Source organism: Homo sapiens, chromosome 22 (assembly GCF_000001405.40).
Source record: "Homo sapiens chromosome 22, GRCh38.p14 Primary Assembly".
NCBI classification, from domain to species: Eukaryota; Metazoa; Chordata; class Mammalia; order Primates; family Hominidae; genus Homo; species Homo sapiens.
In genome coordinates this window covers 42,500,500-42,519,863 of record NC_000022.11, presented here as the reverse complement: position 1 = coordinate 42,519,863, position 19,364 = coordinate 42,500,500, and the positions used below count along the sequence as shown (strand labels likewise).

At 56.8% G+C, this 19,364-nt stretch overlaps 1 protein-coding gene, 2 long non-coding RNA genes and 1 pseudogene across 4 annotated transcripts in view, besides 6 other annotated features; 2 read left to right on the top strand and 2 right to left on the bottom strand.

The window, feature by feature from the left end:
* The window catches only part of LOC124900479 (uncharacterized), a 31,093-nt gene extending 29,645 nt beyond the window's left edge, over positions 1-1,448 (bottom strand). The window contains exon 1 of the long non-coding RNA XR_007068117.1: positions 511-1,448. This is a non-coding gene — a long non-coding RNA (uncharacterized LOC124900479). The remainder of the gene's footprint in view (positions 1-510) is intronic.
* Positions 7-176: a silencer, noted in NCBI's record as "silent region_13828". NCBI's record gives its function as "represses an Ori minimal core promoter by ATAC-STARR-seq in GM12878 lymphoblastoid cells {active_cell/tissue: GM12878}" and the evidence as "EXISTENCE:reporter gene assay evidence [ECO:0000049][PMID:35858748]".
* RRP7A (ribosomal RNA processing 7 homolog A) lies at positions 68-11,520 on the top strand. Its single transcript, NM_015703.5, has 7 exons — positions 68-150; positions 1,717-1,859; positions 3,728-3,853; positions 4,596-4,713; positions 5,085-5,182; positions 5,560-5,758; positions 6,869-11,520. The coding sequence occupies exons 1-7, from the start codon at positions 78-80 to the stop codon at positions 6,952-6,954; spliced, it is 843 nt and encodes a 280-aa protein (NP_056518.2). The 5' UTR covers positions 68-77; the 3' UTR covers positions 6,955-11,520.
* Positions 187-316: a silencer, noted in NCBI's record as "silent region_13827". NCBI's record gives its function as "represses an Ori minimal core promoter by ATAC-STARR-seq in GM12878 lymphoblastoid cells {active_cell/tissue: GM12878}" and the evidence as "EXISTENCE:reporter gene assay evidence [ECO:0000049][PMID:35858748]".
* Positions 5,506-6,049: an enhancer, noted in NCBI's record as "H3K27ac-H3K4me1 hESC enhancer chr22:42909821-42910364 (GRCh37/hg19 assembly coordinates)". NCBI's record gives its function as "activates a minimal SCP1, AML or CMV promoter by ChIP-STARR-seq in naive H9 embryonic stem cells {active_cell/tissue: H9 hESC(naive)}" and the evidence as "EXISTENCE:reporter gene assay evidence [ECO:0000049][PMID:30033119]".
* On the bottom strand, positions 7,304-19,285 carry SERHL (serine hydrolase like (pseudogene); annotated as a pseudogene). The gene is made up of 11 exons (NR_027786.1): positions 19,172-19,285; positions 18,090-18,239; positions 17,832-17,945; positions 17,472-17,513; positions 17,096-17,115; positions 16,591-16,665; positions 14,722-14,831; positions 10,754-10,836; positions 9,140-9,233; positions 7,937-8,048; positions 7,304-7,746 (listed from the first exon to the last, which is right to left on the bottom strand). The product of NR_027786.1 is annotated as a serine hydrolase like (pseudogene) (transcript).
* Positions 10,133-10,831: an enhancer, noted in NCBI's record as "H3K27ac-H3K4me1 hESC enhancer chr22:42905039-42905737 (GRCh37/hg19 assembly coordinates)". NCBI's record gives its function as "activates a minimal SCP1, AML or CMV promoter by ChIP-STARR-seq in naive H9 embryonic stem cells {active_cell/tissue: H9 hESC(naive)}" and the evidence as "EXISTENCE:reporter gene assay evidence [ECO:0000049][PMID:30033119]".
* Positions 10,832-11,531: an enhancer, noted in NCBI's record as "H3K27ac-H3K4me1 hESC enhancer chr22:42904339-42905038 (GRCh37/hg19 assembly coordinates)". NCBI's record gives its function as "activates a minimal SCP1, AML or CMV promoter by ChIP-STARR-seq in naive H9 embryonic stem cells {active_cell/tissue: H9 hESC(naive)}" and the evidence as "EXISTENCE:reporter gene assay evidence [ECO:0000049][PMID:30033119]".
* On the top strand, positions 14,005-17,955 carry LOC101927372 (uncharacterized). The gene is made up of 2 exons (XR_938283.3): positions 14,005-14,044; positions 16,505-17,955. It is a non-coding gene; the product is annotated as an uncharacterized LOC101927372 (long non-coding RNA).
* Positions 14,637-15,270: an enhancer, noted in NCBI's record as "H3K4me1 hESC enhancer chr22:42900600-42901233 (GRCh37/hg19 assembly coordinates)". NCBI's record gives its function as "activates a minimal SCP1, AML or CMV promoter by ChIP-STARR-seq in naive H9 embryonic stem cells {active_cell/tissue: H9 hESC(naive)}" and the evidence as "EXISTENCE:reporter gene assay evidence [ECO:0000049][PMID:30033119]".

The window sequence follows — 19,364 nt, the reverse complement described above, 5'->3', positions numbered from 1 at the left end:
GGCAGGCGCCACGAAAACGCGCTCGCGCCGGCGCCGAACCGCAACTCCCGGCGGCCCCCGCGCTCCCGGGTGGCAAGATGGTGGCGCGCAGGAGGAAGTGCGCCGCGCGGGACCCGGAGGACCGTATCCCCAGCCCACTGGGCTACGCAGGTGAGGGGCTCCGGGACGCGAGACCGGGGGCGGTCAGGCATCGCCGGGAGGTGTTTGGGGGTTGGCGACGGCCGGGGGTCCCCAGGAGCGGCCGCACGGTTGGGTGTGAGCCCCGGTGGCCCGTGGCCCCAGGCTCCGCAGGTCTTGAGGCTCCGGGGTCCCGAGGACCCAGGCGGCGCCCTTCTGCCTGCTCACTCTCCCGGGGCGAGCCCAACTTGGTCCACGCTTCCCTTGGGTGAGCCCGCCTCTGTCCACACTCTCACCCAGGACAAACCCATTTCCGTCCACACCCGCTCGTCCAGGTGAGCCCATCCCCTTCTCATCGCCTCTGCTCCTAGTCCATCCCCCATCAGCTCTTACCTGGGCTGTTATAGGCCCTCCTACTCGGTTGCCCTCCTTCTCCTCTTGCCCCTGCTTCTGTTCTCCACCCACGTGCCAGAATGTTCTTTTAAGGACATTTAGATTCGATCATGTCTGCCGCGCCCACGATAGGCGCCACACCTACTGCATTCCCTCCAGTGGCTTTATCAGGTAGCTTCTAAAACAAAAACCAGACTTCTTAACCTGTGTGGGCCACGTGGTCTGGCTGGTGCCGACCTAAAGCTCTTTCTGTTCCTCTGAGGGAACATGCTTTTTCCCCCCTCTGGGTTTTTGCACGTGCTGTGCCGGTTTGTTGCACAGTGGCGTTCTGGCCTGAGCTTTAATGTTGCTTCCTCAAAGAGGCCATCCGTGATGGCCTATGGAAAGAAGACCTCTGCCACCCCATCACCCTGTAATGTTTCTTTCACAATTGATACAAGTTTGCTGTATGCTTGTTAATTGTCTTCTCCGTTATTGCAACTGAGCTTCCTGAGTTCAGGGACCGCAGCTCTACGCCAACCGGTACTGTGACGGAGGTGTGAGAAAAATAGAAGCAGTTCCTAGCTTTATGAGGATTACAGTCATGGGTGTGCCAGCGATTAACCAAAGAATCTCATCAATATAGCCTCCAGACTGTTAAGAGAAGCTGTGAAGGCACAGGCAGTGGGATCTGAGCTGGCAGGAGGGGCGGAGGTGATGCTAAGGCTCTCCTGAGGAAGCGAGGTTTGAGCTAAACCTGAGGTGAGCGGGAGGGAAGAGGGTGACACGCCAGGTAGAGAGGCCAGCATGTGTGAGGCCCTGGTGTACCCGGGGGAACAGAGAATCCAAGGTGCTGGGGGAAGATGGTACGAGAAGAGGTCACAGTGACAGGCAGGGTCTCACGGGGCTTCCAGCCATGGTTAGGATTTTGGCGTTGACTCCAAGAGCCGCAGGGTTCGAGCTTCCCTCTCATTGCGCCCCCATCTGTAATCATTGCCCATTTATCTTCTCTCTCCCTGCACCGCCTTGGGAGGCCCTCCTGGGCAGACTCTTAGAGCCCGCACAGGCTTTGCCAAAGAGTAGGGTAAGGGGGGTTGGTGAAGGGATGGATGGATCGATGAACAGATAGGACTAGACAGGGATGTGGAGAAAGGAAGTTGTGTGAGTGTCTCGCTGGCCTCAGCTCAGGGTAGCCTGGCCATCCCTCCCCTCCCATTTCCTTTCCAGCTATTCCAATCAAGTTCTCTGAAAAGCAACAGGCTTCTCACTACCTCTATGTGAGAGCACACGGCGTTCGACAAGGCACCAAGTCCACCTGGCCTCAGAAGAGGACTCTTTTTGTCCTCAATGTGCCCCCATACTGCACAGAGGTGAGCTAGTGTCTGTCTGGGAGGAGACCTGTGGGCTCAAGGTGGGGGCTCCCATGGCCTCCACCAAGTCCTTGGTGGTGAGACGGACACAGCTAATGGGAGCCCCAGAGGAGAGTGTCAGGAGGGCTACCGTGATCTCCAGTCAGGAAACTGGCTTTTTAAAGATGTCTTTAAAAGTATAATCCTGCCAGGCACGGTGGCTCATGCCTGTAATCCCAGCACTTTGGGAGGCTGAGGCGGGCGGATCACCTGAAGGGAGGAGTTCCAGACCAGCCTAGCCAACATGGTGAAATCCCGTCTCTACTAAAAAATAAAAAATGAGCCAGGCATGATGGCATGTGTGGGTAGTCCTGGCTACTAGGGAAGCTGAGGCATGAGAATCCCTTGAACCCGGGAGGTGTAGGTTGCAGTGAGCCAAGATCGCGCCACTGCACTCCAGCCTGGGCAACAGAGTGAGACTCTGACTCAAAAAAAAGAGAAAAAAGTACAATCCTAAGTAGCCCAAGGCATTTTTACATATTACCCAAAGTTGTCTGAATTACGTGTTTTCTTCCAGATTGTACATGTCCATAATTTAAAAGTAGGAAAGTATAAGAAAATAAAAAGTGCCTCTAATTCTATCCAAACACAACTGTTAATTTTTTTTTTTTTTTTTTTTTTTTACAAAAACTAAGCTAAGGGAATTGCTGGATTTATTTATTTATTTATTTATTTAATTTATTTATTTATTTTGAGACAGAGTCTCCCTCTGTTGCTCAGGCTGGAGCACAGCGTTCACAACTCACTGCAACCTCCGCTTCCCGGGTTCAAGTGATTCTCCTGCCGCAGCCTCCCAAGCAGCTGGAATTACAGGCGCCCACCACCATGCCCGGCTCATTTTTGTATTGTTAGTATAGACAAGGTTTCACCATGTTGGCCAGGCTGGTCTCGAACTGCTGACCTGAAGTAATCCGCCCCCTTCAGCCTCCCAACGTGCTGGGATTACATGCGTGAGCCACCGCCCCTGGCCAAGGGAATTGCTGGATTTGTTTTCAAAAAAGAAACCCTAATTTGTAAAAGATTCCTCTAAACTTAGAGAAAAAAAGAAGCATGTAGAAGAGGGGGTGTGAGTTCTGACCTTTTTTGAAGTGCAGCATGTGTGCCTGGAAGGGCCCCAGTGGCAAGTGTCCAGCTCGCTGCATCCCAGAGACAGAACATAGCTGTGTAGTCAGCGCCCAGGTGGAGACACAGCAGCACATCCCAGAACCCCCGCTGCCTCCACCACAGACAACCACCATCCCAACTGTCATAGCATAGGGTCACTACTGCTGATTCAGGTAGTAAAACTTGTCATAGGAAATCAGAATAACAGCAAGAATGTCCCCACCTGTCTCCAGTGAGAGAGCAGGAATATGCCGGGCACAGTGGCTCACGCCTGTAATCCCAGCATTTTGGGAGGCCGAGGCGGGCGGATCACCTGAGGTCAGGAGTTCAAGACCAGCCTGGCCAACGTGGCAGAACCCTGTCTCTTCTCAAAATACAAAAATTAGCCACGTGTGGTGGTGGTGGGCGCTTGTAATCCCAGCTGCTCGGGAGACTGAGGCATGAGAATCACTTGCAACCCGAAGGTGGAGGTTGCAGGACTCCAGCCTGGGCTACAGAGCAATACTCCAACTCAAAAAAAAAAAAGAGCAGGAATATCAACCTCCATATTGTCCCTGGGGAACAGGTCGGAGGCCATGGTGCCCACAGTCTCCCGGCTTGGGCAGATGTGGCTGTGGCTGAGTCCTTCAGCGGCGCTGGACCCCTGGCAGCGCCACCCATGGTGCAGGGAGGCTTTGGGATGGCCCTGCGGATGCTCACACTTGGCTTCCCTCTCCCTGCGGCAGGAGAGCCTGTCCCGCCTCCTGTCCACCTGTGGCCTCGTCCAGTCTGTAGAGTTGCAGGAGAAGCCGGACCTGGCTGAGAGCCCAAAGGAGTCAAGGTCGAAGTTTTTTCATCCCAAGCCAGTTCCGGTGAGCCGCCAAGCCCGGGGTTCCACTAGAGTGAGGGGGGTGGGGCACTGTCCCCAGTGTGTTGGGGGAGCTGGCAGTGGGACATCAGAGCATTCTCTGGTCCTGAGCCCATCCTCACCGTGTGTGGTGTAAGAGACTGTCTGGGTGACAAAGCCTGCGATTCTTTGCCAGATTTGCCACATCCTTGCACTTCCTGCCTGGCTTTTTCTGTCCCGTGTTAAAGCTCACGGACCGTCTCTGCTGGCCACCTGCAGGGCCTTCCCCGGCTCCCCTCCTGCTTCCCCACTGAGGGAGCTCCTTCCCCAGGCTTGGGGGCCGGGTCTCCAGGAGCACTGTTGTTCACAGCTTTCCCAGTGGCCCTGGAGCCCACACCTCCTCCCCACACAGTGGCATCTGGCATGGTGTGTGCGCCCAGGCCTGGCTTCCAAAAACCTGCCCTGGCCCAGGGCGACCCCTGTGTTTCACCGCATCCCTCCCGTGACTGGAAGAAAAGAAGCCTCTGTATCCCCTCTTCCTGGGGAGGAGTTGGGAACAGCCGTCACTTCCCGCAGAAGCAGGATTACTGGAAGTGTGGCTGCCTCTGACCTGGATTATGGGATGGCCTGTGGTTCTCTTCATGGCTCAGGAATAGCCTAGCACCATCTCCCCTGGTGTAGCTACCACCTAGGCTGAGGGCAGGCCTGGAGACCTTGTGCCAGACGTGGGAAGGAGCCCCCAACCTCTGACATCTCTCTCTCTTCAGGGTTTCCAGGTAGCCTATGTGGTGTTCCAGAAGCCAAGTGGGGTGTCAGCGGCCTTGGCCCTGAAGGGCCCCCTGCTGGTGTCCACAGAGAGCCACCCTGTGAAGAGTGGCATTCACAGTTAGTACTGCGGGAGGGGTCTGGCGCCTCCTTTCTGGGCTCCGGGTTGGCAGGACACTCTATGGGGACAGTGTCTGAATGTCACAAGCCAAGTCCATGCTCCCTGAGAGCAGCATGTGGAGGCCTGGGCAGGAGGACCATGGGGCTGTGTCTGGGTCCCCAGGGAGTCATTAGCCTGAGCCCCTGGCACAGAGCGGCACAGGCATACTGGGCAGGCAGAGCGAGGGCGCAGCTTGCAGCCCCTGGGATCTCCTTAGCACCTGTGCCCCGGGCCCTGTGGGAAAAGGTCCCAATTTGCCTGGCAGGCCCTGGGGTGGGGCCCAAATGCCAGGCCTGAGGAAGCCCCGTTTCCCTGGCTCCCTTTTCCTCAGAGTGGATCAGTGACTACGCAGACTCTGTGCCCGACCCTGAGGCCCTGAGGGTGGAAGTGGACACGTTCATGGAGGCATATGACCAGAAGATCGCTGAGGTAGAGGCCCCGCGGGGTCGGCCGAGCCCCGCATCGCCCGTGTGGCTGTGGGAAGGTGGCGCCCCAGAGGGAGGGCAGTGGTGGCCTGTCCTTGGCCACTCTGTAGAGGCCAGGCTCCCTGTTTCCCTGCTGGATCCTGGGCTGCCTGGCTGGGTGACACATGTAGTCTCCACATGTCCTACAGTGGAGAAGGAGGCAGTGCCGGCAGGTCCGTGCCCTCCCCGCCATCCTTAGCCCCAACACTGTGCTGGGAGGAGGGGAGCAGCCCTCCCCTGCGGGGGCTCAGGGCAGTTCTGACTTTGGGAGGAGGGCGTGGAGGGCGCGCTGCTGGAGGCTGCAGGAGGTCCCACCGGAGGATGGGATCACCTTCCTTGCAGGAAGAAGCTAAGGCCAAGGAGGAGGAGGGGGTCCCTGACGAGGAGGGCTGGGTGAAGGTGACCCGCCGGGGCCGGCGGCCTGTGCTCCCCCGGACTGAGGCAGCCAGCTTGCGGGTGCTGGAGAGGGAGAGACGGAAGCGCAGCCGAAAAGAGCTGCTCAACTTCTACGCCTGGCAGCATCGAGAGAGCAAGATGGAGCGTAAGCCACCCCCAGTCCATCCTCAGACCCCTCGGCCTTGGCCCCAGCCACGGATGAGGCCTGTGGCCAGTGCTCCTGAGGGCGGGCGCTGGACTTGGTGGTCGAGGAGGGAGGGCGTCCCTAAGCACGGGGCTCGCACCAGACTCTGTGGAAAGAGGCCCAGCCTGGCAGCACCCTGTGTGGCGGTTCCCCATCACCCCCTAGGGGCAGATGCATTTGCTCAGTGGGTGGGGACCCTAGGTCATCAGTGCCCACCTCTGGGTCCCTGTGCACTTAGTGCTGGCGCTCGTCAGCCTCCAGCTAACGAGGAGTTCAAGTGCAGAGGGGGCTTCTGAACCCACTGTGGGTGCAGAGAAGGTGCTGCAGAGTATGTGTGTTGGGTTGGTGGTGGGTGTGTGTGTGTGTGTGTCTGTCAGGTGGCCCCGCACAGGACCCTCCCATGCCTGTGGGCCCGATCGCCTGTGGCCCACTCCTGGTGCTGCGGCTGAGCCTCCTGCCCCACTGCCTGGTGTCCCTGTCTACAGAACAGCTTCCCTGTGGGCCCAGGGGAGGGTTCTCCTGGCCCTGGCTAGGGCACAGGGACGGGCTCTGCGGCAGGCCCTGAGCCGCCCGCCCAGTCACTGGTGCTTTCCCTGCCTGGCTGGCCCTCCTGGCTCCCGCTCGTGCTCGCTCTAGACCCTCAGCTTCCCCCTCAGTGCCATCAGCCTCCCACTGACCAGGGTTGCCATCTGCATTCACCAGCACAAGGGCTGGGGTGCCTTTACTGATTCTCAGGGTTCTCCAGGCCGAGCGCTCAAGACTCCTTCCTTCCCCCTGTGCAGGGATGGGGGTGGGGGCGGGTACCTTTGCTTTGTCGCTAGGGCTTCATCTCCAGGCTGGGGGTGCCAGCATCTCCCACTTTGGCCTTGCCCTTGGACTCGGCCTGCCGTCGGTTCTGTTTCCTGACAAGATCCAGACCCTGCCCCCACAGCAGAGCTGGGAGGGGGATGGGCTGGTGGGGGAGACATAGCCCCACCCCCACAGTAACTGGGAGGAGGGGTGGGGCATGAGCAAGCCAGCTTCCCCGGGGCGCGCTGTCTGACCCTGCCCCGCGCCTCCTCTCACCCCCAGATCTAGCGCAGCTGCGCAAGAAGTTCGAGGAGGACAAGCAGAGGATCGAGCTGCTGCGGGCCCAGCGCAAATTCCGACCGTACTGAGCTGTGAGAGCCGCAGTGAATGGCTGGAGGTGCAGGGCCAGGAGGAGGCGAGGCAGGGCCTGCAGCGGTCTCTGAGAGGCCGAGCTCTGGCCAACGGGCCCCAGGTTGAAGGCCACCGCGTCCAACAGCCCCATCAGAGTCCACACAGGCCAGGAGGGAAGGACCAGGCCACCCCTCGGGTCTTGTGCTTCAGCAGTCCTGGGGACCCAGGCGTGCCGAGAGGAGGACTTGTCCTTCCTGCTTCTTGCCTCCACACCCTCCTCTCCAGGACCCTGGATGAATCCGTTCTGTGCTTCCTTTTCCCTCAATGCAAAAGCCCTTGCTGGCAACGAAAAAGCCTCAAAAGCAGTGAGAATACAAGAACCTTTTATTTTCCATCCAGTTGGGCAGCAGGGAAAGGCTAGGTGGGCCCAGCCCGCCCTTCCTTCCTCCAGCTGGCTGGAGATTATTAGCCAGGAGACAGCAGCCCTGGAACCCAGACTCTGTCTCCCCCTTGAGGTCACAGATGTTGAAGTTGGAATCTCGCTCCTTCCCCTGACTACCATCCTAGGCTGGGCCTCAAGACTAGTGAGGCCTGTCCCCACCATCCCTGGCCTTGTTGTGGGGCTCAGGAACTCAGAGTCCCAGTGTTGAGTCTGGGAGCACTAGGTCTTCATAGTTCCAGGCCCAGAGCTACAGCTGGGCTGGGAGCGTGTGTGTGCACTGTAAGAAGGAGCTGATGATACTGGCCACGTGCTGGGGTTCGCTCATGTGGACACAGTGATTGCCTGGGACTTCCACAAACTGGAACCGCTGGAGAGGGGAGGGGGTGGGTAGTGAGATGTGGCCAGAGGAGCCTAGGGAGCTCCATGGGCCCCGGGGTCAGGGCCCTCCCACAGCATTCCAGCTCCCTGCAGGTCAGGAGCGCCTCCCACAGTGAGTTTCCCCCACACTCGGCTCCTTGGAGCCCCGACAGTCCATAGCACCCCAGGAGATGTCTAACCTTAGGGACTTGGAGGCCTCCCAGGGGTCTAGGCCAGCTGAGTTGTGAAGTTGCATGGCAGGGACAGGGCAGGGCCGAGGCCAGGGTTGCTGTGATTGTATCCGAAGTAGTCCTCGTGAGAAAAGATAATGAGATGACGTGAGCAGCCTGCAGACTTGTGTCTGCCTTCAAGAAGCCAGACAGGAAGGCCCTGCCTGCCTTGGCTCTGACCTGGCGGCCAGCCAGCCAGCCACAGGTGGGCTTCTTCCTTTTGTGGTGACAACGCCAAGAAAACTGCAGAGGCCCCAGGGTCAGGTGTAAGTGGGTAGGTGACCATAAAACACCAGGTGCTCCCAGGAACCCGGGCAAAGGCCATCCCCACCTACAGCCAGCATGCCCACTGGCGTGATGGGTGCAGAGGGATGAGGCAGCCAGGTGTTCTGCTGTGGTTTGGGAGCCTATAAAGTGAGACTAGGCTGGGCATGGTGGCTCCCATCTGCAAAACCAGCACTTTGGGAGGCCAAGGTGGGCGGATCGCCTGAGGTCAGGAGTTTGAGACCAGCCTGGCCAACATGGTGAACCCCCATCTCTTAAAAATATAAAAATTAGCTGGGCATGGTGGCAGGTGCCTGTAATCCCAGCTACTCAGGAGGCTGAGGCACGAGAGTCGCTTGAACCCGGGAGGTGGAGGTTACAGTAAGCTGAGATCTTCCCACTGCACTCCAGCCTGAGCGACAGAGTGAGACTCCATCTCAAAAAAAAAAAAAAAGTGTGACTATTAGCTGGGCATGATGGCATGCGCCTGTAGTGCCACCTACTCAGGTGGCTGAGGTGGGAGGATCATTTGAGCCCAGGAGTTTGAGGCTGCAGTGAGCTATGACTGAGCCTGAGCAACAGAATGAGACCCTGTCTCTCAAAAAATGTGGGACTGTCTCTGGCAGTTGGGTCACCTAATTGTGCCTGGCCCCAAGAAGGAGGGGTGGGTACTTGAGGATGGTAAAGAACCTCCCCACCAAAGGTCTCTGTTTCTTAAATTCTGATTACATGTGTCCCCAGGCCTCTAGGGACTGATCACTGGAGCATGAGGCCTGATAGATCCTGGTGGTCACTTGTTGGGCCTGGGGGCAGACCAGGGGTCTTTCCCAGTGCATGAGAAGAGATGGGTGAGGTGGGACCAGAGTGGGCGACAGTGGCTGGACACCAGCTGCCTGAGCCCCGCCTTACCTCTTTGAGGGTGGATTTCATTGTGTCTATCATGAACGACAGGGACTCCTTGTCAGAGTAATTCTCTCTTGGATCAAAATATCCGTGGACTGCTCTGGAAAGTGAGGAGTTGGGGGTTGTTGGGGTTCATCTTAGAACCGCCTCCCAGCGGTGCCCCCATCCTGCCCTGGGTTCAGGCCTCTGAGGAGAAACCAAAGCCTGGGCTACCCCAACTCCCACAGCTGGGTCCCTTGACCCTGGGTTGGATTTGAGGCTCAGTTAATCTCAGCTCACGCTCAGCTGGCACAAGCCAGGCGCAAGCAAGTGCTGAAGGCACAGCCTTGCTGGGGCGCAGGGAGTTCAGGACTTGGTCACAGTCAGCCCTGAACAGCAGAGCTGGGATCTGAACAGGCGCTGGAGCCCACACTTGCTCTGAGAGAGAATTTATGTCTTCACAATCCTCCCATTGAAAGTCTACAATCCTGGCCGGGTATGGTGGCTCACGCCTGTAATCCCAGCACTTTGGGAGGCTGAGGCGGGTGGATCACGAGGTCAGGAGATGAGACCATCCTGGCTAACATGGTGAAACCCTGTCTGTACTAAAAATACAAAAATTAGCCGGGCTTGGTGGTGGGTGCCTGTAGTCCCAGCTACTCCGGAGGCTGAGGCAGGAGAATGGCGTGAACCCGGGAGGCGGACCTTGCAGTGAGCTGAGATTGCACCACTACACTCCAGCCTGGGCGACAGAGCCAGACTCCATCTCAAAAAAAAAAAAAAAAAAGTCTACAATCCCGTGGTTTTTAATACATTGAGTTGTGAGACCATCGTCACAATTACATTTTCATCACCCCCAAAGAAATCGCAAACCTCTGAGCTTACACACACACACACACACCCCACCCCCCCACCCCCAACAGGCTTCCGGTCCTGAGCAACCATGACCTGGCTTTGTCTCTGCCGTGTGTCCTATTTGGACTTGAACGTGAATGCAGCCATACAACACGTAGACGGTTGTGTCTGACTTCATCCACTTAGTGCGATGTTTTCAAGGCTCATCCATGCTGGAGCCCATGTCAGTGCTTCGTTTCTTTTTATGGCTTAAAAATCGTCTATGGTGGGCCACGCACGGTGGCTCTCGCCTGTAATCCCAACACTGGGAGGCCGAGGCAGGCGGATCATGAGGTCAGGAGATGGAGAGCAGCCTGGCCAACATGGCGAAACCTCGTCTCTACTAAAAATACAAAAATAAGCCAGGCGTGGTGGCGGGCGCCTGTAGTCCCAGCTACTCGGGAGGCTGAGGCAGGAGAATCGTTTGAATCCAGGAGGCAGAGGTTGCAGTGAGTCGAGACTGGGCTCACTGGTTATGGAGCCTTACCTGGGCATGCCCCCCGCTGACACCTGTGGAAAGGCATGGGACAGCCCCGGCCCATCCCCTGCTGCCTGAGCCCTCCCCTCCTCTGACCTTCCTCCTTCCATGACCCTGCTGCCAGGGGGGCTTCCCAAAAAAGATCTTGAGTCTTAGCGATGTGGTCGACACGCAGAGAACTTGGAGCCTCATGCCAGGGCCCCCTCCCAGAGATTCCTGGCGCCCATGTCTCCTTGGGGGGTGACTGAAGGGGATGGGTCCAGACTCACTTGATCAACAGGACATGGGCCTGCAGCTTCCTGATGGAATGCGCACACAGCTCCCTGCTGACGAAGTCAATGCTGTTCTCTGCCTGCAGAGACAAAAACATGGTGAATTCTCGTCACAAGGCACAGGCACTCTCGTGGGCACGAAACCCATCTCTGTTGGGGTGGCTAAGCCCTGGCGAGGGCACCTTAGCCACCCACCCTGGGTCTGAGCCCAGGACCCCACATCACTGCCTCATCGAAGGCTCTTTAGCCCCTGGTGGCCAGAGACTCCTGCCCTCTCCAAGTCTGTTCTCCCCTCTTCCTGGGCTCGTGGCTACCCAGCCTGACTCCATTTCCAATACTCCTTTGCCACCAGGTATGGCTGTGTGATTAAAGTCAGAGAAGTGAGTTGGGCCACTTTTGGGCCTGGATTTTAGGACTTAGGTGTGGCCCTTCCACACCCCTTTCCCAGTCCATAGGCTGCACCTCACGCTGTCCCCTGCCAGCCTGGGACAGGCTTCTTGCCAGGAGAAAGAAACTTGCTGGGACCACAGTGCAGGATGGGCACTCCGTGATGGCCCCAGCCAGCCTCCTCCGCGGCCCTGCCTGCCCTGTCTTGTGACTGTTTTACGTCTGGATGGCGGGGATGTGGCCAGCTTGAGTGAGATGTGCTGTAGGTGTGACACGAAGCTGGATTTGGAAAACAGCATGCAAAATAATGCAATCAAGCTTTATGTTGATTACATCTTAAATCACATTGTGGATGTTAAATAAAAATATGAGAAGAATTTATAGAACCTTTTTTTTTTTTTTTTTTTGCTCTTGTTGCCCAGGCTGGAGTGCAATGGCGTGATCTCAGCTTACCGCAACCTCCGCCTCCCGGGTTCAAGCGATTCTCCTGCCTCAGCCTCCCAAGTGGCTGGGACTACAGGTGTGTGTCACCACTCCCGGCTAATTTTTGTATTTTTTGGTAGAGACAGGGTTTCACCATGTTGGCCAGGCTGGTCTTTAACTCCTGGCCTCAAGTGATCTGCCTGCCTCGGCCTCCTAAAGTGCTGGGATTACAGGCGTGAGCCACTGCACCTGGCCAGAAATTTAAAAAATAAAAATAAAAAAAAAGAATTTTGGGCCAGCCCCATCTTGGAATGTGTATCTTCTGCAATTTAGTTTATGTCCTAACGAAGTCTTTCCATCCCTGGGAAGCCTCCTCCTTCCAGCATTATGGGTGATCACAGATCCCACTACAGATCAGGTCACATAAGACATGGTCCCTAAGGACAGGGAAAGGGGCATCTCCAAAAGTCAGATTGACTAGGATCTGGCAATAAACTCCCACCACGAAGGTCAGCACACACAAGGGACAAACCACCAGTGAGTGAGCCTTAGTGGGTAGGGAGGACCACCCAACAGCTGGTATTGGAATAACTAGCTGTTCATCTAGAAAAACAATTACAATGGCTGGCTGCAGTGGCTCACACCTATAATCCCAGTACTTTGGGAAACAGGCGGGAGGATAGCTTGAGCCCAGGCATTCAAGACCAGCCTGGGCAACATGGCACGACCCTGTCTCTACAAAAGTAAAAAACTTAGCTGGGTGTGATAGCGCACACCTGTAGTCCTAGCTACTCGGGAGGCTGAGGTGGGAAGATCACTTCAGCCCAGGAGGTTGAGGCTGCGTGAGCCATGATTGAGCCATGGCACTCCAGTCTGGGTGACAGAGGGAGACCCTGTCTCTACAATTCAAATAGACCGAACACTGTGGCTCATGCCTGTAATCCCAGCACTTTGGGAGGTCGAGGCAGGCAGATCACCTGAGGTCAGGAGTTCGAGACCAGCCTGGACAACATGGTGAAACCCCATCTCCACTAAAAACACAAAAATTAGCCAGGTGTGGTGGTGGGTGCCTGTAATCCCAGCTACTTGGGGGCTGAGACAGGAGAATCACTCGAACCTGGGAGGCGAACGTTGCAGTGAGCTGAGATGGTGCCATTGCACTCCAGCCTTTGCAACAAGAGCGAGACTCTGTATCAATAATAATAATAATATAATAATAATAATAATAATAATAAAGAAAAATAGAACTTTTAAAACATGAAAAAAAAAAAAGAAAATGAATCACTATCTGACACCATGCTCAAGAACAAATCCCACACGGATCAAAGACAAACACGTTAACATTCCCAGACCATTGGCTGACGCCCTGGTCCAAGCCTCATCTCTTGGCCTGGGCCTGGGCAGCAGCTCTCAGCGGTCTCCCTGCAGTTAGAGCATCCCCACCTCTAATGACAGTGTCTCACATGTGTCCAATGTTCTACCATATTTTAACAATCACAAAATAGCACAGGCCATGAGCACCTGAAGCGACAGCACTGTGCGAGGCCACTCAACACACATGACCTCACCTAGTCTCGACAACAACCCTTCAAAGGCAGGCCCAGGGCTTGGCTCCCCTAGCCAAGCTGCTCATAAACCAGCTGAGCGAATGAAAGCACTTTCTTTTTGCACGTGAGACAACCAAGGCTCAGAGAGGGTAAGCACCTTGCCCAAGGTCCTACAGCCCCTCACTGGCAGAGATGGCCAAGTTTCTATTAATACAAGTCTCCAGTGACACAGGCCTCCAGATGGGACGCTGTTTTTTGAGAACCTTTGTCATCCTGCCCCTCCCCTCTTTAATCTTCACAGCCTCTATCAGGAATCCCCCTCTCAACAGATGCACCGAGCTGACTTCGAGCTTTTCCCTGTGCAGCAGCCAGTGCCTGGGATGTCTCCCTCCTCTCCTCACCTCCATCGACTGTATTTAATGCCACTGAAGTGCACACTTACAAACGGTTAAATTGACAATCATTATGTATTATGTCACCTATGTAATTTCTTTTTTTTTTTTTTTCTTGAGATGGAGTCTCGCTCTGTCGCCCAGGCTGCAGTGCAGTGGTGCTCTCTCGGCTCACGGCAACCTCTGCCTCCCATTCAAGCGATTCTCCTGCCTCAGCCTCCTGAGTAGCTGGGATTACAGGCGTGAGCCACCGTGCCCGGCCCTTGTTTTCCTTTTGAAACAGGGTCTCACTGTCACCCAAACTGGAGTGCAGTGGCATGATCATGGCTGTCTGCAGCCTCGACCTCCTGGGGCTAAGCACTCCTCCCAACTAAGGCTGCTGAGTAGCTGGGACCACAGGCGTGTGCCACCACGACCAGCTAATTTTTTTTTTTTTTTTTTTTTAAATACAGGGTCTCGCTATCTCGCTCAGGCTGGTCTCTAACTCCTGGGCTCAAGCTATCTTCCCACCTCAGCTTCCCAATGTGCTGGGATTACAGGTGTGAGCCACTGCGCCTGGCCTGTGTCCCGTGTTTCGATTGCATGTTTACAGCGGCAGGGTGTGTGTGTGTGGGTGTGTGTGCGCGTGCGTGTGGTGGGGCAGTGGGGGGCTTCTCCTCCTTCAGACAACAAATATGTGTGGAGCTCTGACCTACCAGGCCCACTGCCAGATGCAGGAGGCACAAAGATGACCAAATCAGCCATAGTGGGGGTTGCGGAGTTCACATGCCTCGGGAAACAGAGGAATCAATAGGCTCTTATTGGACAGTGTGGTTACCTGCAGGGCAGGGACAGCTTGCCTGGGGGTGTCAGGGCAGGGTTCCCAGCTGAGGCCCCAAGGAGTGGGGAAGCCAGTGAGCAAGCACAGGGGAGAATTCCAGGTAAGGGAGCCCAGGCTGGAGTCCCAGAGGGGAGAGAAGGCGTGGAAGCAGCATGTGCTTGGGAGAGAGGCGGGTGCGTGAGAGGTGTGGGGAGGGTATTGGAAGTAAGGGGCATGGCTGGAGCAGGGGCAGAGGGAAAGAGAGAACGTCCCTGAAGACCCTGGGAAGCCTGGTGCTCAGCGTGACCCCAGGGAGAAACAGGCTTGTTGGGTGAGAGGGAGAAAGAAGCTTCTCCACGTCTCACGGGATGTCCTCCCCTGGACCCCACCAGCTCCCCGTCCACACCGGGCACCCACCTCTGCAGCAGCTGCTTCAGGCTGAACACGTGCGAGGGCTCCTGGGAGGCCTCTACCTGCAGCACGTGCTCTATGGCTCTCCGCTTGTAGGTCAGCAAGTTCTCCATTTCCTAAGGAGGCACAGTTGGCTGGTGGGCAGGGATCCAGGCTGCAGACGAGGTCTCTGCCCCTCCTAGCCCTGCCCTCTGCTCTCAGCTGAGCCCCTCTCGGCAAAGGGGCACACAGCCCCAGCCCTGGCTAGTCAGCCCCACGATTCTGAACGAGTCTTTGCTTCGCCTCAGTCACAGCCAGCCTGGTCTTGCCTGCGGCCAGGGACAGTTGAAGAGATCAGGTGGGATGATGGAGAGGAAGGGGAATCTCTGTCAACTGCCAAGTGCTTTGCAAAGGCATGAAATTAGGGTCCGGAGGCCACGAACCATCTGGGGTTGGCAGTTTCATCTGGTTCAACGAATGCCATCATTCTCAGTGGCAGAAAGGGACTGGCAGAAAGGGCGCATTTCTGGGGCTTCCAAGCTCCCCCATGATGTGTGGCTCACTCTGTGAGGACAGCCTCAGGCCCACTGCCTGGGGCTGCAGAGGGGGGCATCTCCCATCTACCCATGCCTGAGAATGCAGGACAAGAGGACCAAATGCCCCTCTTGACTCGCCCAGGAGGAAGCCCCTGGGGGCACTGCACTTGTCAATTCAGTGGGTGAAATGCAGAAAGAAGGGAGTGTCTGCTGTCTGCCATCTGTAAATTGGATCCTTATAATAGCCCCTGAGCTAGCTGAGCTCATGCAAGGAACATTTACTGAGCCCTTACTAGGTGCCAGGATTGGGGATGTGGTGACAGAGATGGACATGATCCTTATCCTTATGGGATCTGCCGTCATTCTTTTTTTTTTTTTTTTTTTTTTTTTTTGGAGACGGAGTTTCCCTCTTGTTGCCCAGGCTGGAGTGCAATGGCGCAATCTCGGCTCACTGCAACCTCCGCCTCCTGGGTTCAAGCGATTCTCCTGCCTCGGCCTCCCAAGTAGCTGGGATGACAGGCATGTGCCACCACGCCCAGCTAATTTTGTACTTTCAGTAGAGACGGGATTTCTCCATGTTGGTCAGGCTGGTCTCGAAATCCTGACCTCAGGTGATCCGCCAGCCTCGGCCTCCCAAAGTGCTGGGATTACAGGCGTGAGCCACCGCATCTGGCCGATCTGTGGTCATTCTATGGACAAGAAAACTGAAACTGATGAGACTTGTGTCACAACTGATAGGCTGAGACCTTGGCAAGAAAATGACAGGATGTCAGAGCTGGCCAGGTCATTGAGCCCAACCTCATTTTACACGTGCGGGAACTAAGGCCCAGAGAGGCAAAGTAACTTGCCAGGGGTCACCCAGCAGGTAAACCAGGCCAGGACTCAGACGCAGAGACAGTACTGGTTATGGGTAGTGGTGGTCAGAGGGGTCAGTCCTTGTTCCTTCAGTTCACATTTAGGGCTGTCATGTGTGGTGGTGCAATGTGGACACAGTGCAAAGGCATTCGACTGGGTGTGAGTGCAGTGTGCCGGCCCAGCTGTGTGCCCTAGAACATCTTCCACCCATGGCCGCTGCCCTCTTCCACTGCCTGCCACTGCGTGATCAGCCTGGCATTCTGCAGATCCCGAGCCACACATCCAGTTTCCAAGGGGTCCCCCACACCCCTTGTCCTGACCACTGCTAGGGGTATAAGCAGCAGAAGGGTGTCATCTGTTGGGGAGCGGGTCCCTGACTCCCCTTTCCCACCCTCTGCCGCCTCCTCGTGCTTCCCTAGTGTCCACCAAAGGAGACAGGGCTGGGAGCGCTGCCCGGGGCCCAGGTCCTCCCTAATGACAGCATGCACGAAAGCCCGCTTCTCACATCTGATTCCAGGAGAAAGAGCGGCGTGTCCAGCAAGATAAGTTTATCCACCATCTCGGGGAAGGTACAGAAAAACTGTGAGGATGCCAAAAGGGGAGAATGAATAGGATGAAGAAGGAAAGGACACTCCCGCCTTTCCCTGGGGACCCTGGAGTTCCCCGAAACATCTTTTAGGCTGGGGGGAGGGTGCTGACCAAGAGGCCAGAGGAGAATCTTCTATCTATGGTGTGCCTTCCCCCACCACCCCTAAGTCTGCACCCAGCACTGAGCTCCAGACCTTGGTGATGGCTGGACTCCAGGGTGCGGTGGGACCGGGTATGGGGGCGTGGAAACATGAACTCTACCAGGAGTCTCCACCGTTTACACCAACTTCCTGGTATAAGGACTATCACTGTGACAGGAGGAGGCACTTTCTGTCCCAGGTACCTTCTCCTTCCTCCTTTGTGCTCCCCTCCCCACTCCACCCAAGGGAGCCCCAGTTGGCCAGACAAAGCCATCTACTCACCATTCCGCCCACGACGCCACCTGGGGGACAAAAGAGCTGTGGGTGACATTCCCTCACTCCCTCCCCAGCTGCATACCCTAAAGCTTCTTCCCACCAGTTGGGGGGGGGGCACCATATGGGTGGCTGGGGGCTCAGCATCTGGGCCATGATGTCCCCTTCATCAGACCTGACCACTCAAAAGACCACATTTCCCTCATCCCTGTGTCCCTTGCGGCAGTTGCCTGAGGTCAGAGGGTACAGTGGTCAACCTCTGACTGACCCTCTCATCTCTCTTTGCAGATCTCATAAGTGCAGGGGAAAGGGGTGGGGCAGCAGCTCCTATCCTTCCCTCCCAGCCCTACTCCGGGCCCGGTCAGCTCCTGGCCACTGTACTCACCGAAGCTGTGGCCCAGAATGGAGAATCGATTCCATTTCAAGGCTGGAAATGCAAGGAGCCAGAAGGTCCGGCTGGGCACAGGCTCAGCCCACGATCTTGCTTCTAGTCCCCAGGCTCAGGAAATCCCTTCCCAGCATCTGGGGTGTCCACCCAGGACACTAGCTTGGGGGACCCACTGGAGGAAGCGAACTCTTCAACTTTCCCAAGATCTCCCGTGAATTGCTGGCAGACCTGGGGCCAGAGCCCAGGCCCCACTCTCAGGCCAGCGCTGCTTCCTGGATCCTACCCCGCCTCCAGTGATAAGAGGGGGTGCCCTAGAGCACCCCCCACACCGCCGAAAATACACACTCTGTTTCTTACCTGCCACAACTCTTCGGATCTCACTCACAAAAGTCTGGAGGTAATATGGGACACCTGGGCTGTAATGGGACGAGAGCCCATGACCTCCGAAATCCATGGCAACGTAATAAAAGTCTGAAACAGAGAGAAGCGGGTTGGAGGGTAGGAAGAGGTGTCTATGCCAGCTGTCTCCCCGCCCTCCTCATTCCCCTGCAGACCTCCCCCCTCACCTTCCTGCCCACTTTCCCCCTGGCCTTCCCTTCAGCCCCAGCCTCACACCTTGCGGGAGAAGAGGGATGAGTCTGTCGAAGGAGCTGGCATTGTCCAGCCAGCCGTGCAGGCAGAGAACTGGAGGGCCCTGCAGGGAGCCCCAGGCTTTGGCTGCGATGTGGCCCCAGGGCACAGCCAGCTTCAGCTCTGAGATCAGACCTGAAAGACACAGCCGGGTCTTTCATTCCTTCATTCATTCACCCATGAAGCTGGTGCTCCCTGAGCCCCTTATCTCTCCCTGATGTGCTTGAGCCAGGGGCTCATGTCCAGAGGGACTCAGACCCTTAGCTGCCCCAGAAGGTTATGGGGAGAGAGTCAGACATGGGAGTGGAGACTCCCAGAGGAGGGACAGAGAAGCTAAGCCGGAAAAAGCTGTGACAGGCCTCAGAGCATGCACCCCATTTAAACTGGGGCAGAACCTTCTAGAATGTGCTGGGGCGGGGGCGCTGGTCAGGCCTGGACCCCATCACTTGCTGGCTGGGTAACCTTGGAGAAGTTACTAAAACGTCTTGAGCCTCAGTTTCCTTTCCTGTAAAACCGGAGTAAAGAAACAGCCCGTTTCCTAAGCCTTTCACAAAGGCCAGAGGGGTGCCAAACCCTCACACACGCAGCAGGTGGGAGCACTGTCACTCTCCCTCCACAGAGCAGGAAACTGAGGCACTGGGAGCTGCAGTACATGCCCAAGGTCACACTGGGCGACAGGGGCGGAGTGGAAATTTAGGGCAGGCGGTGGGACTCCAGGACCCACCGCCGCCCCCCACAGCTGGCAGCCTCCTCCGTCTCTGCAAGGCTGGAGACCTGCGCGCCCCCGACACCCACGCGCACGCCCGGCTAACTCAGGGTCTCCTAGAACCCTGGGAGGCCACGTGCGGCCGTGTCCCGGGTCCCCCAACTCCCGGCCGGTCGCGCTCTCACGCCCCGGGACTGCCGAGGAAGGAGCTGCGACACCCAGAAGGGCGACGCGGTCGGTGAACCCTCCACTCCATCCGCCCTCCTCCACAGTCCCAACCAGGTGGGTGGGCAATGGGGCGCTCGCGCGAGGCCTCCCCGTCCCATCTAAGTCTAAGGCGACCTGGTGAGTCTAAGGCGACCTGGTGCGGCGTTCTCAGCCATCGCTCTCGTCTGGCGAATGCGCGGCCGTCACACCCTCACGCCTGCCTAGGTAGCAGGAGGGGAGTGTATCCTGCAGTTCCAGGCCCTGCTTCTAGGCTGTTCCGCCCCGCCCCGCCCCGCCCCAGTCAGGCCACACCTCCACGCCTCACGCCCCGCCTTCGCCCCGCCTTT